The following is a 15,287-nucleotide window of genomic DNA, read 5'->3' as shown; positions in this document are numbered from 1 at the left end:
ATTTACCTTTCTGGTAAAAAATTAACCCTCCCAGAAGAGGGTTGATCCAAGAGACTCAAGCCCTTTTATCAATTTTTTATCTAAACTTGCCTCAACATTGCGCAGGCAATGTCAGCTTTCCCATTAGATTACAAACTTTGCTTTAAAAAAAATCCAATCTAAGGCAAATACAAAAAAACTGGTGTAGGTCCCTATAATGTTTGAAGATCAGCAGGGGCTCCCTTTTGTTCACCCCACTTTTATAGCATTGTAAAAGCCTTTGTTTTTACCCTATCAATTTTTATTTTATTTTATTTCTTAATAATCATCTAAAGATTTCCACCATGATAGATGAGTCCTTTGACTCCCTTTTACCTTGCCCAATTTTTTAATTACCCTAATGTTTTAATAACATCGGTAAGATCCATGGGGGACAGCAAATTTGGGAAGGCTTCTCAAACAGCTCTTTGATTCTGCAGGAGTAATGTCACCTGGGATGCCCAGGTAGAAGGGTCCCCCTAAACCATAGCATTTACTATGACCAGGGTAATAGGTATATTTAATTGAATAATATTCTGGTCATCATAAAGCCAGTTCCATATGGTTTGCATATGAAGCATATCAGGTGCTTCATCTGGGGAACTCCACCTGGAATTTTACAGGGTGAGTTGGGCAGTCCATTTCTCAGGGTAATCAAACCTTATGGTGGCAATTATTCAGTCCACTGGGCTGCTTGTGAAGCTGGGTCACATATACTCCTCAGTGATTGCTTAATCGTGAGCTGTGGGACCTGCATAAACCCCTGCTTTTTCATTCTGTAGCATTTAAAATAAAAAATATTGCCCTTAAAGTAGCTATTTTTCCAGTCCATTATAGTAAACGTTTCTCAGGAAACTGATTATATTATTCTACAAAGGAGCAATTTCTTTACATTATACCCTCTGGGTTTAATAGTTAACTTCTTTTTCTATTTAAGTGCATTGGCTATCTTCTTGGTAACTACAGGTCTCAAAGGTAACTTTGTTGCCCTGGCTTAAGATGTGTGTGTGTGTGTGTGTGTGTGTGTGTGTGTGTGTGTGTGTGCCTGTGTGTGTGTCTAGCTTTGAAGCTAGTGGCCTGAGCTGAGAGTCCACATGTAAATTTGGTCAAGCCTTAAGGCAAAACTCCGCACTCTTTTACTTTCATTTTAGCGATTACAGATAGCAATAACCAAGGGAATTAACATTTTGTAGTTTTCTTATTAGTTTCCATTTTGTTATGCATTCACTGAACTAACTCCCTGGGAGTATGTCTATCATCCATCTCTAAATTCCACTGGTAACTTTTACCTTTGGTAACTGAATGCAGCCCAGCTGCAGCTTTTGAAGATGGGAGACCATGTAGCCACCTGAGAGTCAAAAGTTTCTTATTTCCTGAGTTTTCACTTTTCTCTTTATCCATCTGGTCATATATATATATGATATATATATCATATATACATCATATATATCATATACATCATATATATCATATATATCATATATATCATATATATCATATATATCATATATCATATATATCATATATATCATATATATCATATATCATATATATCATATATATCATATATATACACACACATACACATATATACACACACATACACATATATATATACACACACATATATATGTGTATATATACATATATATATATATATATGTATATATATAAATTTTAAGTTGACTCAGCCTCGAGAACACTTGGTCACAGGGTGGGGAACATCACACACTGGGGCCTGTCGTGGGGTAGGGGGAGGGGGAAGGGATAGTATTGGGAGAAATACCTAATGTAAATGATGGGTTGATGGGTGCAGTGGGCCAGCATGGCACATGTATACTTACGTAATGAGCCTGCACATTGTGCACATGTACCCTAGAACTTAAAGTATAATAAAACATAAAGAAAAAAAATTACATTTTCAATAGCAAAAATCACATCCTTCTGTTTTTATAAACCTCACCCAAAAAAACTTTTTATTCTACAACTATTTTAACTCTTTGTAACCTAAATTCTCAGTGACCATACTGAGGATTACTTAATTTAACATAACATGACTCAGATTTTAAACTATTGGAGAGAAATTTGAGATTAAATTTTCCAAATTAATGTTACCAAATATTGCTATAGTCATGTGAACTCAAAGGTATCCAAGCTAGCTTTTATTAGTGTGATAAGCAATTAACTTTTCTTTAAGTCAGTTGGTTAGAGCTCTTTCATATATTTTGATATTGAAATATCACTTCCACATGACACAAGTAATATATAGACATAACAGACATACAAAGGCAAATGTTGGGAACAGGCCCCAAAATCTGGCCATAAACTAGTCCTAAAACTGGCCAGAAACAGTCTCTGCAGCACTGTGACATGCTCTTGATGGCCATGACACTCATGCTGGGAGGTTTGCGGTTTACCGGAGTGAGGGCAAGGAACACCTGGCCCACCCAGCGCAGAAAACCGCTTAAGGCATTCTTAAACCACACACAATAGCATGAGCGATCTGTGCCTTAAGGACATGTTCCTGCTGCAGATAACTAGCCAGAGCCCATCCCTTTATTTCGGCCCATCCCTTTATTTGCCATAAGGAATACTTTTAGTAAATCTTATCACTGGCTTGCTGTCAATAAATGTGTGGGTAAATCTCTGTTCGAAGCTCTCAGCTTTGAAGGCTGTAAGACCCTTGACTTCCCACTCCACACGCTATATTTCTGTGTTTGTATCTTTAATTCCTCTAGCACCACTGGGTTAGTGTCTCCACGACTGAGCTGGTTTCAGCAGGCAGATTGAAAAATGTTTTTCATTTGCCTGTTTTCAAAAACTGTCTCCTTTGCTTTAGACTAATAATAAAAAGAAATGTTACAGAATTTAACAAAAGTTTAAGGAGAGAGTTACCATCCAAGGCCTTCTCAAAACAGAGAAAGAGCTGAAGCAGCAGGGTTCAGCAGAAACTAAATTTCTATTACACTGATTATACAGTTTAAAAACTGAAAGATTCTTGCATTGAATAACTCAATATTTTAATACAAATTTTTATAACCAATTCATTAGTTTTGTATTTGTCTAATTTTAATATTAATATCCAATTACCAGGAAGACTATTATAATCTCATTTTAATTATAGCCTACTTAATCATATGTTTTATACATTTTTTTAAATAAATTTCATTTTACTAAACTTACTATGACTTAACAGATTCTTCATAACATACTTCGGCTTTGGGGTTTGTCTTAAACATACATCTTCTTAACCTGTTATTTTATTTTTTCGTACAAGATTTGTTTTCTTGTAATCTTTCTTACCAAAGGTACCTATTTATATTTATGTTTCTTTAAATCTCTCTTATTCCCTAGTGTCTTTTGCCTTGTATTATAAATAATGTTTAAATAAACTTTGAACTACAAAAATAATTGTCTTTTAATAAAAAACCATTTTTTAAAGTTTCCTTATAATTTTTGAAATTGAAAAGTACCCATACATTTAACATATATCTATTATTTAATATAATTTTAGATTCCAAATTATATGACATTCATTTTAGTATAGTCACGTAATACATTTATTTAATAGTTTACTTAGATTATTTATAAAAACTGTGACAGTCATCATTTAATTATTTTTTTGTTGCTGTTAAACATTTTTATACCCTATGAATTTCAGGAATTTACCTAACTAAGAAACTTAAGGTTAAATACATGGGTATTTTACCAATAACTCAGGATTTAGTTGCTTTCACTAAACCAATAATATTAAATGTCTTCTTTACTAAAAATTACACAAGCAAAGATCATTCTGTTTTGGGCTGGGTTCATAGTATTACAAACCTTAGGCCAAATTTTGGCACCTTACAATATTTGGCAGGAAAAAAAAATATTTGGCAGGAATAAGTATGAAACCACTTGATCAATAAGTGGAAAGAAATATGCTGACAATTCTTAAGACATCTCTAGTATTACTTTACCAATAATTTTAAAGCTAGCTTATTCATTAAAAATTTTACTTAAGTCACATGGACTTGAAAAGCCATTAGGCTTATTATTTCCTTAATTTATGAGGTCTCCTTAACTTTAATTTAATTTGGTTCCTTGTAGCTATAACACACAAAAAATACACGTATGTGCAGATAAACAGACACATACACACTCATAACAAAGATTCTAGAGCTTTTACTTTAGAACTCCAGACATGAGATATTGATACAAACTCACTGGTTTACAAGTAATAATAATAATAATAAAAAGAAAAAAACACCAAAACAATGGTCCTAGCCAAAAAGTGATTTTTTTTTATCAGTAGAAAACTAACAGTAGACTTAAAGCAAGTAGGGGAAAAAAATAGAAAAATAGAGAACATAGAAATTTTCTAGTACATGTCAGCCTTTGGGTCTAAATTTTTACTTAACGTAATTTGGCCATCAGTTTAAAATGTGCAAAACAGAACATAATATGTAACTATTTGGAGCACTAGAAAGTCTGATACTCCATTCTCACATTGTTAAAAAGAACTACCTGAGACTGTGTAATTTATGAAGAAAAGAGGTTTAATTGACTCACATTCCACAGGGTGTATAGGTAGCATGACTGAGGAGGCCTAAGAAAACTTACAATCATGCCAGATGGTAAAGTGGAAGCCAACATATTCTACATGGCTGGAGCAGCATGAAGGCTGGGGGTGGTGACACACACATTTAAACAACCAGATCTCATGAGAGCTGTATCACAAGATAACACTAGGAGGATGGTGCTAAAACATTAGAAACCACCATCACGATTCGATCACCTCCTACCAGCCTCCACCTCTAGCACTGAAGATAACAATTTGTAACAGTTCATTCTCACACTGCTAATAAAGACATACCCAAGACTGGGTAAATTATACAGAAAACAAGGTTCAATGGACTCACAGTTCAGCATGGCTGGGCTGGCCTCAAGAAACTTACCATCATGGCAGAAGGGGAAGCAAACGTGTCCTTTGAGCAAAAGGGGGAAAAGCCCCTTATAAAACCATCAGATCTCATGAGACCTCACTCACTATCATGAGAACAGAAGCATGGGAATAACCAGTGCCATGATTAAATTACCTCCCACCTGGTCCCTCCCAAAACACATGGGGATTATGGGAACTATAATTCAAGATGACATTTGGATGCTGACACAGCTGAAACACATCACATTTTAAAATGAGATTTGGGTGGGAACATAGAGCCAAACCTCCCAAATCTCATGTCCTTCTCACATTTTAAAACAAAATCATGCCTTCTCCACAGTCCTCCAAAGTCTTAGCACATCCCAGAATTACCCAAAATGTCCAAATCCTAAATTTCATCTGGGACAAGGCAAGTCCCTTCCACTTATGAGCTTGGAGAATAAAAAACAAGTGAGTTACTTCCAAGATACAGTGGGGATACAGCAACTGAGTGAATGTTCCCATTTTAAAAGAAAAAAAATGGCCAGAACAAAGGCCCCAGGCAAGTCCAAAACCCAGCAGGGCACTCATTCAATCTCAAAGATCCAAAATAATTTCCTTTGACTCTATGTCTCACATCCAGGGCATACCAGGGCAATAGGAGGGCTCTCAAGGCTTTGGGAAGCTCTGGCCCTGTGGATCTGCCTGTCTTTTTCTCATCTTCCTGTCTTTTTAGGAGCCCTCCAAACTATTCCAACCTCTGCCCATTACCCAGTTCCAAAGTTGCTTCCACATCTTCAGGTATCTTTACAGTAATGCCCCACCTCTCTAGTTTTCTGTATTAGTTTGCTGTCACATTGTTCTCACATCTTCTGTATTACTTTGTTTTCACATTTGTTCTCATATTGCTGTAAAGAACTACCGGAGACTGGGTAATTTATGACGAAAAGAGGTTTAAATTACTCACAGTTCCCTAGGCTGTATAGGTACCCTGTCTGAGGAGGCCTCAGGAAATTTATAATTATGAGAAAGTGAAGGGAAGTCAACATGACCTACCTGATTGGAGCAGGAGGAAGGTGGGGGAAGCTGCTACGCACTTTTAAACAACCACATCTTCTGAAAGCTCCATGGCAACACAGCACTAGGGGGTGTTCCTAAACCATTAGACGTGGAATGCCCTCACACTTCTCCATTTTACACAAATGCTTTCAAATGGAAGACCCATGAAACCAAAAAATTGTTCCAAAGCAGTTTTTCTCATTGTCTTTCCTCATTCTTAAATTCTTTCACACTTCTTTTCTTAAAAGGAGGAACCGAGCTGTAGCCTAGGCTTTTTTGTGTGGTGCATCAATGTGTGCTGATTGTAAGTGAGACTCCACATGTTTTAACGTTGAGTTGTTTCTGCCTTGTTACATGTGTTAGTGAATCTTTAAAATCCTTGTTCTTCAGTGCCGTAAAGAAATAGCACTGGAACATAAATTTAATTTCTTCAGCGAGGCCAATTTTTTTTTTTACTTTATGCAGAAAGGGTGCACACATCAGCAGTTTTGCCATGAGAGTACACCAAATAAAGGAGACGGTCATTTATAACTTGACATGTCAAGCTTACTGCTGTGTCCGGGGTTTCTATTGGAAGGAACAGGACATCACATTGTGTATTTGTCCTGATTGGCTAGCAACTTAGAACTTTTTAAAAGAGGCAAAGGCAGAGGAGAACAAAGGAAGGCAGAAGTAACTTGTGGTATACTGAGAAAGGTAAAAACACCTTCAAATAAGGAAGAGGAACAGGCTATGACCTAATGCTTGCTTAGACCAGTGTAAGCATGCCAGGGCAAATATTTACACTAAATTGTGGGAGCTGAGAACATAAAATACATTGATTTCTTTATTATGGTTAGCAGATATTTAAGAATGTTAGCACAGGTCTTTGAATAAATTTTGCTTGTAAGAGAAGTTACTACTTATTCTTAATTAGATGGAGGGGAAGTCTTTGAAGAGGAATCTCTACTTTACTTTTTACACCGAAGCAGCCTAGGGTCACTGGAGCAGTCTTGTTGTTTGAGGTATTACCAGGAGTTCTTGAGAGGGTTGTCATTCATTTCACAGTTGAATCCAAAGACTTTTATAAAAAAAAAAAAAAAAAAAAAAAAAAAAAGCTAATAGGGCAGAGTGTTTCATTCACATAAGGCACGAAAAACAGGTTAGGACTGGATGTCTTATTTGCATACATACAAATTCTTGTTAGCTCCACCTCTTCTCTCTAGTGTGCATGCAGGTCCTTAGCCTGAGTTACTGCATATTGTTTTATTTTGCTTATTGCGTATGTGTCACTGCAGACGTGTCTGGTTCTGTGTAAGTTTCCTTATCTATACAGCTACAGGTCTGTCTTAGGCAAGCACCCTGTGCAAGTTCCTTTACCTGAGTGTGTCCAGAAAGAAAAGGAATGTGCTCACCAAAGGCCACCGTGTGTAGGCGGAGCTCACTGGTTGCACAGAAGACAAGGGCTTTGGACTTTGCTTCCTTATCTGTGCTTGCAGCTTGATTTCTTCCACATTGTCATTTTTTGGGGAGGACTTCTACCAAGAACCTGTCCTAACTATCTGCCTAACTGGTTACTTATTCTTTCTTCTCTCATTAGTTTCTCTCTCCAGACATCTATCACCTCCATGAGGGCTCAAAACACCGAGTGATCAGCTCTTTATGCGTTTGCTAGATGAGCTTTTTAAAACTCATTTTACCTAATGTCATTATCAGCCTTCTGCTTATTAAGACAGAAACCACAACCATGTCTTTTCTCCTGTACATTTTTTCCTACCTCAGATATTATCAGTAAATACAAATTTTAAATTAATTTCTTGCAGTTACTATTAACAATTTGTGTTTCATTCCATTAGGTTGGCATGTCTCAGTAACTAATATACAATTTTATCATTTTCCCTGCTTTTAAACTCTTACCTTTACATACCACTCTATGTTGAGATGCAAGAATTTCTTGCTAAAGAAAGGCTTGATCTTGTGACTGTCTTTTAAAACTTGAGTGAAGAATTATTTGCCAATAAATTATCATTCAAACTCATAATTGTTTATTTAAAACTAAGTTCCCCTGTTTCAAACTAACTTTCTTCTGTAATGTCCTGCCCTGACCTTTCTCTGTGATCACTACTCACTGGAATGATTTTCAAATATTCTATACTTTCAAATATTTTCAAATATTCTATATTCTATGTGTAGACATATACATATAGTGTGTGTGTGCATGTGTGTATACTGGAAATAAACATTTTTTAAAAGTATAGGAAATAGTGACCTGAACTGATCATATGCTGGGCAAAAACTCAAAACTCAATTAGTTTGTTGAGATTCAAAATCATAAAAAGTATGTGGTCTAGCTATACTAGAAATAAATTAGAAATCATACAAAGAATGATAACTAAAAAATTCTCTAAACTTTGGAAATTAAAAATACATTTTTAAAAAATTCAGTCAACAAAATATTGTAATTATACATGCACATTTATCTCAGCAACTCTTCTCCCAATTATATATCTAACAGAAATTAATATGTAAAACTAATGACATACATATAGATAAATATATTTATACCAGAATAACTAATAATGTCCAAAAATGTAAACAACCCAGGTGTCCATCAGTTATAAAATAAAGAAATACTCTGTGGTATTTGTCAATCAACAGAATACTATACAGCAATGTAATTAACCAATAACTGCTATACAAAAAAAGACACAAGTATATATTATATAATTCAATTATATAAACAAGTAATGTTAATTTATTAAATTAGAATTCAGGTTAATACTTAAATTGAGAATGAAAACAGTGACTAAAATGGTCCAAAAGGAGAGAGTTCCTCTAGGCAGGTTTTAATAACCCAGAACCTAAGAAGTAGGTGTCTTTATTTCAGGATAATATTTAACATAATCTTAAAATTTTGAGTTACTCACTAGTGTGTGTATATTTATCTTATGTATCTCATACTTAAGATTTTATTTTAGAAGATATATAAAATATTTTAAAGTTCTAGAAATTAAATAGCAAAATAAGCATGAAACACTGGAGAAAATTCTACAGGTACTATATAGTGTGGCCAGGAAAAGCCTCTCTAACAAGTATCATTTAAGGGGAAGCCTCAAAAAGAGATAGAAGCAAGCCTCATTTTATTGCAAGACAGAATGCTCTGAAAAGGGAGAGAGGAGACAAAAGGTGTAAAGGGGCTAAGGTGAGAATGCCTTTGAGAGCTTCAAGATTAATAGAAGCCCAGTGTCCCTAGAAGAGAGTATGCAGGGGGAAAGTGTTAGGAGAAGTTGCCAGTGCCTGACCATGTCAAGTTCTGTAGACCAAAAACAGATCTTATTCCCTTTTTTTCTATTAAAAAGCATGTCATTCTTTTTTATTTTATTTTTTATTTAACTTTTACTTTATGTTCAGGTTAAAAAATGCAAGTTGTTATATAGGCAAACTTATTTCTTGGGGGTTTGTTGTACAGATTATTTTGTCACCCAGGTATTAAGCCTAGTAAACACAAATTATTTTTTTCTGATCTTCTCCCTCCTATCACCCTCTACACTCTGCTAGGTCCCAGTGTGTGTAGTTCCCCTCCATGTGTTCATTCATGTCTTCCCATTACAGATTCTCTTCTTAATGTGATGAGAATCCAGATGGAAATCTTAATCAGTGGAGTGTCATAATCTGACATTAATTTCAAAAAAAAACATTATTCTGGCTTCTGGAAGGAAAATATAGCAGAAGACAGAAGAGTAGAGTAGAAGCAGAGAGATTAGTTAGAGGGCATTTCAACCACTGAACACAATTATTTCTTAAAATATCAAAATAGTCCAAACACGGTGGTTCATGCCTGCAGTCCCTGCACTTTGGGAGGTGAATCAGGAGTGCTGTTTGAGTCCAGGAATTTAAGACCAGCCTGGGCAACATAACGAGATTCCATTAGAACAAACAAATTTAAAAATAAGCCAGGCAGAGTGTTTGAGCTCGTAGTCCCAACTACTCAGTAAGCTCAGTTGTCAGGATTGCTTATGCCCACAAGATCAGGGCTACTGTGAGCCCTGATAAAGGGAACAACTCCAGCCTGAGCAAGAGAGCACAACCGTCTCTCAAAAACTATGTGTATCAAAATGATCATTCTCAGATTGCATTTCTATTATCTTACTTATAGCACTTAGAGTGGCTCATCATATTTCCTCTGGTAGAAAGATGTTAACTTTCCCACCTGACTCCATTTCACTTTTAAAAAATTTTGCCTATGATAAAATTATAATTTAAAACCAAACTTTCTATGATGACCCAATTTAAAACATTCAATTTCTATGTCAATTCTATAATATTTACTTTGAATTATTTGTGTAACATTTTTCAAAGACTTTCCATAGACTTGATATATTTAGGAAAAAAATTACTTTCTATGTTGGTATTTTTCTGTTTATCCTTAGCTATGAAGAGAATGCTTTGAAATTATCAAGGATTCATCATGATCAGCCAACGAAGCCCCGGGATCAAGCGGTCTTCTGGATTGAGTTTGTCATGCGCCACAAAGGAGCCAAGCACCTTCGGGTTGCAGCCCGTGACCTCACCTGGTTTCAGTACCACTCTTTGGATGTGATTGGGTTCCTGCTGGCCTGTGTGGCAAATGTGATATTCATCATCACAAAATATTGCCTGTTTTGTTTCTGAAAGTTTGTCAAAACAGGAAAGAAGGAGAAAAAGGATTAGTTATATCAAAGGCCTGAAGCTGGAATGACCAAAAATTAGGAGTTGTCCAGTTTATTGCAGCATGAAGTGGTGGAAATGGAAAATTTCCTTCCCCCTGTGACAAAACATCATTTCACAATTGACCCTGTTAAGTGAAAAACTTCTTTTCCAGAGACTTAGTATCTATTTAAGTTGGAAATATTCCAAGTCAAATATTTAAAAACTAGGATAAATAAAAATAATAAAAAAACCCTGTGGGGTTTTAAGGTTATTATTCTAATTAACAAATGACACAAAAAACTTTACTGAGCTTAACGATGTTTCACACACTGTGCATGGAAATTACTATATTCAGAAGTTCACTTACAGTGTCAGTACTGTTTTTCATATGCTCAGAATACTTTGGCTTCATTTGGAGCAGGTACTGTTTTTCATATGCTCAGAATACTTTGGCTTCATTTTGAGCAGATTTCTATTTTTTTTTACTGTTGCCAAAGAAACTATTCAATAATTAAATTGGGCAAGAAGTCTCACTCTTCCTATTCTTCCTATTGATATTGCAGGAACAGTAGTATTGTTTGGCTTCTTCTATGCATCCATACTCAGTGTCACTGCTTTCCTAAAAGACATTACAAGTTTATCCCTAGAATGAAAGATAATGTTCAAAATTAACAAATATGATATACCACATTAACAAAATAATGAATAATAAGCAACTGTTATCTCAATAGGTGCAAATAAAAGCATTTGAAAAATTCAACAGTTTCTATGAGTAAAAAAAAAAAATCTTTTAACACCCTAGAAATATAAGAAAATCACCTTAACATGAGGAATGATACATATGAAAACCTCACAGCTAAATTCATACTCAATTAAAAAATCTGAAAAAATTTTATCTAATATCAGAACCGGGTAATGATGCTCACTCCTGCTGCTTCTATTTCACATAGTACTGTAAGTCCTAGCTAGAACAAATCAGCAAGAAAAATAAAAATAAAACAAGTTTTTAAATAAGAAAAGAAGTAAAATTACCTCTGTTTGCAGATGACATTATAGTATGTGTGGAAAACTGTAAAGACTCTACAAAATACTACTAGAAGTAAAACAAATTCAGTAAATTTGCAGGATATAAAATCAACATACAAAATTGTATTATTATTCGTATACTAACAAATAACTATCAAGAAACAGTCCAATTTATAATAGCATAAAAAATATATAGGAATAAACTTAACCAAGTAATTAAAAAAACTTCTGTACTAAAAACTATAAGACATTGATGAATGAAAGGAAAGAATACACTAATTTGGAAAGATATATTATGTTGACTGAAATATTTAATAATGTTGAAGTATCTATACAACCTGAAGTGATTTACAGATTCGGTGTAATCCCTATCACAATCCCAATGACATATTCTATTAAAAAAAACTATAATTTATGATCCTGGAAACACTCTAAATAGCCAAAACAATATGCAAAATGTAGAAACAGCTGAAGTCATCATATTTCCTTATTTCAAATTATATTTAGAGCTAGTGTAATTAAAATAACATGGTGTATTAGTCTGTTTTCACACTGCTGTAAAGTACTACCTGAGATTCAGTAATTTATAAGAAAAAGAGGTTTATTTGACTCATAGTTCCTCATGGCTGGGGAGGTCTGAGGAAACTTATAATCATGGTTGAGTGCAAAAAGAAAGCAAAGCATGTACTATATGGCAACATGAGAGAGAAAGAGAGAGAGAGAAGTGCCACAGTTTTAAACCATTATATCTACTGAGAACTCACTCACTATCATGATAACAGCATGGGGAAAATTCACCCCTGTGATCGAATCACCTCCTACCATGTCCCTCTCCTGACACGTGGGGATTACAATTCAATGTGAAATTTGGGTGAGACACAAAGCCAAACCATATTATCCCCACCTCAGCCTCTCTCAAATCTCATGTCATTCTCACATTTCAAAATACAATATCCCTTTTCACAGTACACCAAAGTCTTAACGCATTTCAGTATTAACACAAAAGTCTAAGTCAAAAGTCACATCTGAGACAAGGCAAGACCCTCTACCTATAAGCCTGTAAAATTAAAAAAAAAAAAAACAAGTTAGTTACTTCCAAGATACAGTGGGGTACAGGAATTTGGTAAATATTCCCATTCCAAATGGGAGAAATTGGCCAAAACAAAGGAGCTACAGGCTCCATGCAAGCCTGTAACCCCATATGGCAGCCATTAAATCTTAAAGCTTCAAAAAATCTCCTATAATTCAATTTCTCTCATCCAGTTCCCACTGATGCAAGGGATGGGATTCAGTGGTCTTTGGCAGTTCTACCCCTGTGGCTCCACAGGAGGGCACAGCCCCCATGGATGCTTTCATGGGCTGGCATTGAGTGCCTGTGGCTTTTCCAGGTGCACAGAGCAAGCTGTATGTGTATCTACCATTGCGGTTTTTGGAAGATGATGGCCTTCTTCTCACAGCTACACTACTCAGTGCCTCAGTGGGGAAACTGTGTGGGGACTCCACCCCACATTTCCCTTTGTATTTCCCTAGTAGAGGTTCTCCATGAGGGTTCTGCCCCTGCAGCAGACTTCTGCCTGGACATCCAGGCATTTCCATACATACCCTGAAATCTGGGCAGAAGTTCCCAAATCTCAACTTCAGCGTTCTGTGAACCTGGAGGGCTGACACCTCATCCAAGACAACAAAATATGGGGCTTGCATCCTCTGAAGCCATGGCCCAAGCTGTATCTTGATGCCTTGTAGCCACAGCTGGAGCTAGAGCAGATGGGATGCAGGGAGCAATGTCCTGAGGCCTCACAGAGCAGCTGGGCCCAAGGCCTATAGCAAAAAACAATTTTTCCCTCCTAGGCCTAAAGGCCTGTGATGAGGGTGGCTGCCATGAAGGTCTCTGAAATATTCTGGAGACATTTTTCCCATTGTGTTGGCTACTAACATTCAGTTTCTCATTACTTATGTATTTTGGCAGCCAGCTTGAATTTCAATGGGGTTTTCTTTTATACCACATGGTCAGACTGCAAATTTTTCAAACTCTTGTGCTCTGATTCCCTTTTAAACATAAGTTCCAATTTCAGACCTTTTTTTTTGAACACATATGACTGTATGCTGTTAGAAACAGCCAGGTCACATCTTGAATGCTTTGCTGTTTTGAAATCTCTTCCACCAGATACCCTAAATTATCTCTCTCAAGCTCAAAATTCCAAATATCTCTATGGCAGGGACTGCCAGTATCTTTGTTAAAGAATAGAATGATTGGCTTTTACTCCAGTTCCCAATAAGATGAGTAAGTTTAAGAGAACTGCTGCACTATATTGTGGCCATAGTTAGCAATAATGTATTATACACTTAAAATATCTTTAAAAGAGTAGATCTCACATTAAGTGTTTACACTAATGCAAGGCATACCTTCAAGATATTACAGGTTTGGGTTCAGATCACTGCAATAAAGCAAATATTGCAAAGAAGAAAGTTACACAATTGTTTTGGATTTCCATGGCATATAAAAGTTATGTCTAAACTGTCTGTATTCCATTAAGTCAGAAATAGCATTATGTATAAAAATGTACATAACTCAATTAAAAATACTTTACTGCTGAAAAATGCTAACAATCATCTGATCCTTGTGTGAGCTGTACTCTTTTTACTTGCAGAGGATCACAATTTCAATAAGACAAGAATGATGTTTACTGCATTCATTGATCTTTTCTTTCATGAAAAATTTCTGTGTAGCATGCCATGCTGTTTAATAATGCTGTATAATAGCTTTTTACCCTTAGTAGAGATTCTTTTAAAGCTGCAATCAATCCACTCAAACATTACTGCTGCTTCATTAAATAAGTTTAAGTAATATTCTAAATTCTTTGTTTTCATTTTAAAAATGTTCAAGCCATTTTCACCAAGAGTATTTTTCATCTCAATATACCCCTTTCTTTGTTCATTCATATGAAGCAACTCCTCATCTATTCAAGTTTCATCATTAAATTGAAGCAATTCAGTCATATCTTCAGGTTCTACTTCTAATTACATTTTACTTACAATATTCACCACATTTGTAGTTACTTCCTCCATTGAGGTCTTGACCCTGTCAATATTATTCGTGATGGTTGAAATCAACATCCTAAAAACTCCTGGTGATGTCGATATTTTGACCTCTTCCCATGACTCTCAAATGTTCTTAATGTCATCTAGGAAGATGAATCTTTTTTATAAAATGTTCAATTTACTTTACTAATATCCAACAAAGTAATTGCTATCAATGGCAGCTATATTCTTACAAAATGTATTTCTTAAATGCAATAACTTAAAAGTTGAAATTACTTTTTGATCCAGGGCTATAGAATGAATGTTATATTAGCAAGCATGAAAGCAACATTAATTTCTCTGTATATCTCATTTTCTTGAGTGACCAGACCTATTGTCAATGAGCATTAATATTTTGAAGGGAACATTTTTTCGTAAGCAGTAGATCTCAAAAGTGGGATTAAAATATTCAGTAAATTATGCTGTAAACAGCTATGCTGCCATCCAAGCTTTTTGATACCACTGATAGAGTACAGAATAGATTTAGTATATTTCTTCAGGGCCCTAGGATTTTCCACGTGATAAATCAGCA

General features: G+C 35.3%; 1 pseudogene; it reads left to right on the top strand.

Annotated features, from left to right (window-relative positions):
• Nucleotides 1-10,672, top strand: part of LOC101930041 (UDP-glucuronosyltransferase 2B10-like) — a 47,384-nt pseudogene extending 36,712 nt beyond the window's left edge.
• Nucleotides 10,673-15,287: the final 4,615 nt, after the last annotated feature.

The sequence above is a fragment of the Homo sapiens genome, chromosome 4 (assembly GCF_000001405.40).
Source record: "Homo sapiens chromosome 4, GRCh38.p14 Primary Assembly".
NCBI classification, from domain to species: domain Eukaryota; kingdom Metazoa; phylum Chordata; class Mammalia; order Primates; family Hominidae; genus Homo; species Homo sapiens.
Note: the sequence above shows the minus strand (reverse complement) of the source record. Positions and strands in the feature narration are given on the sequence as shown.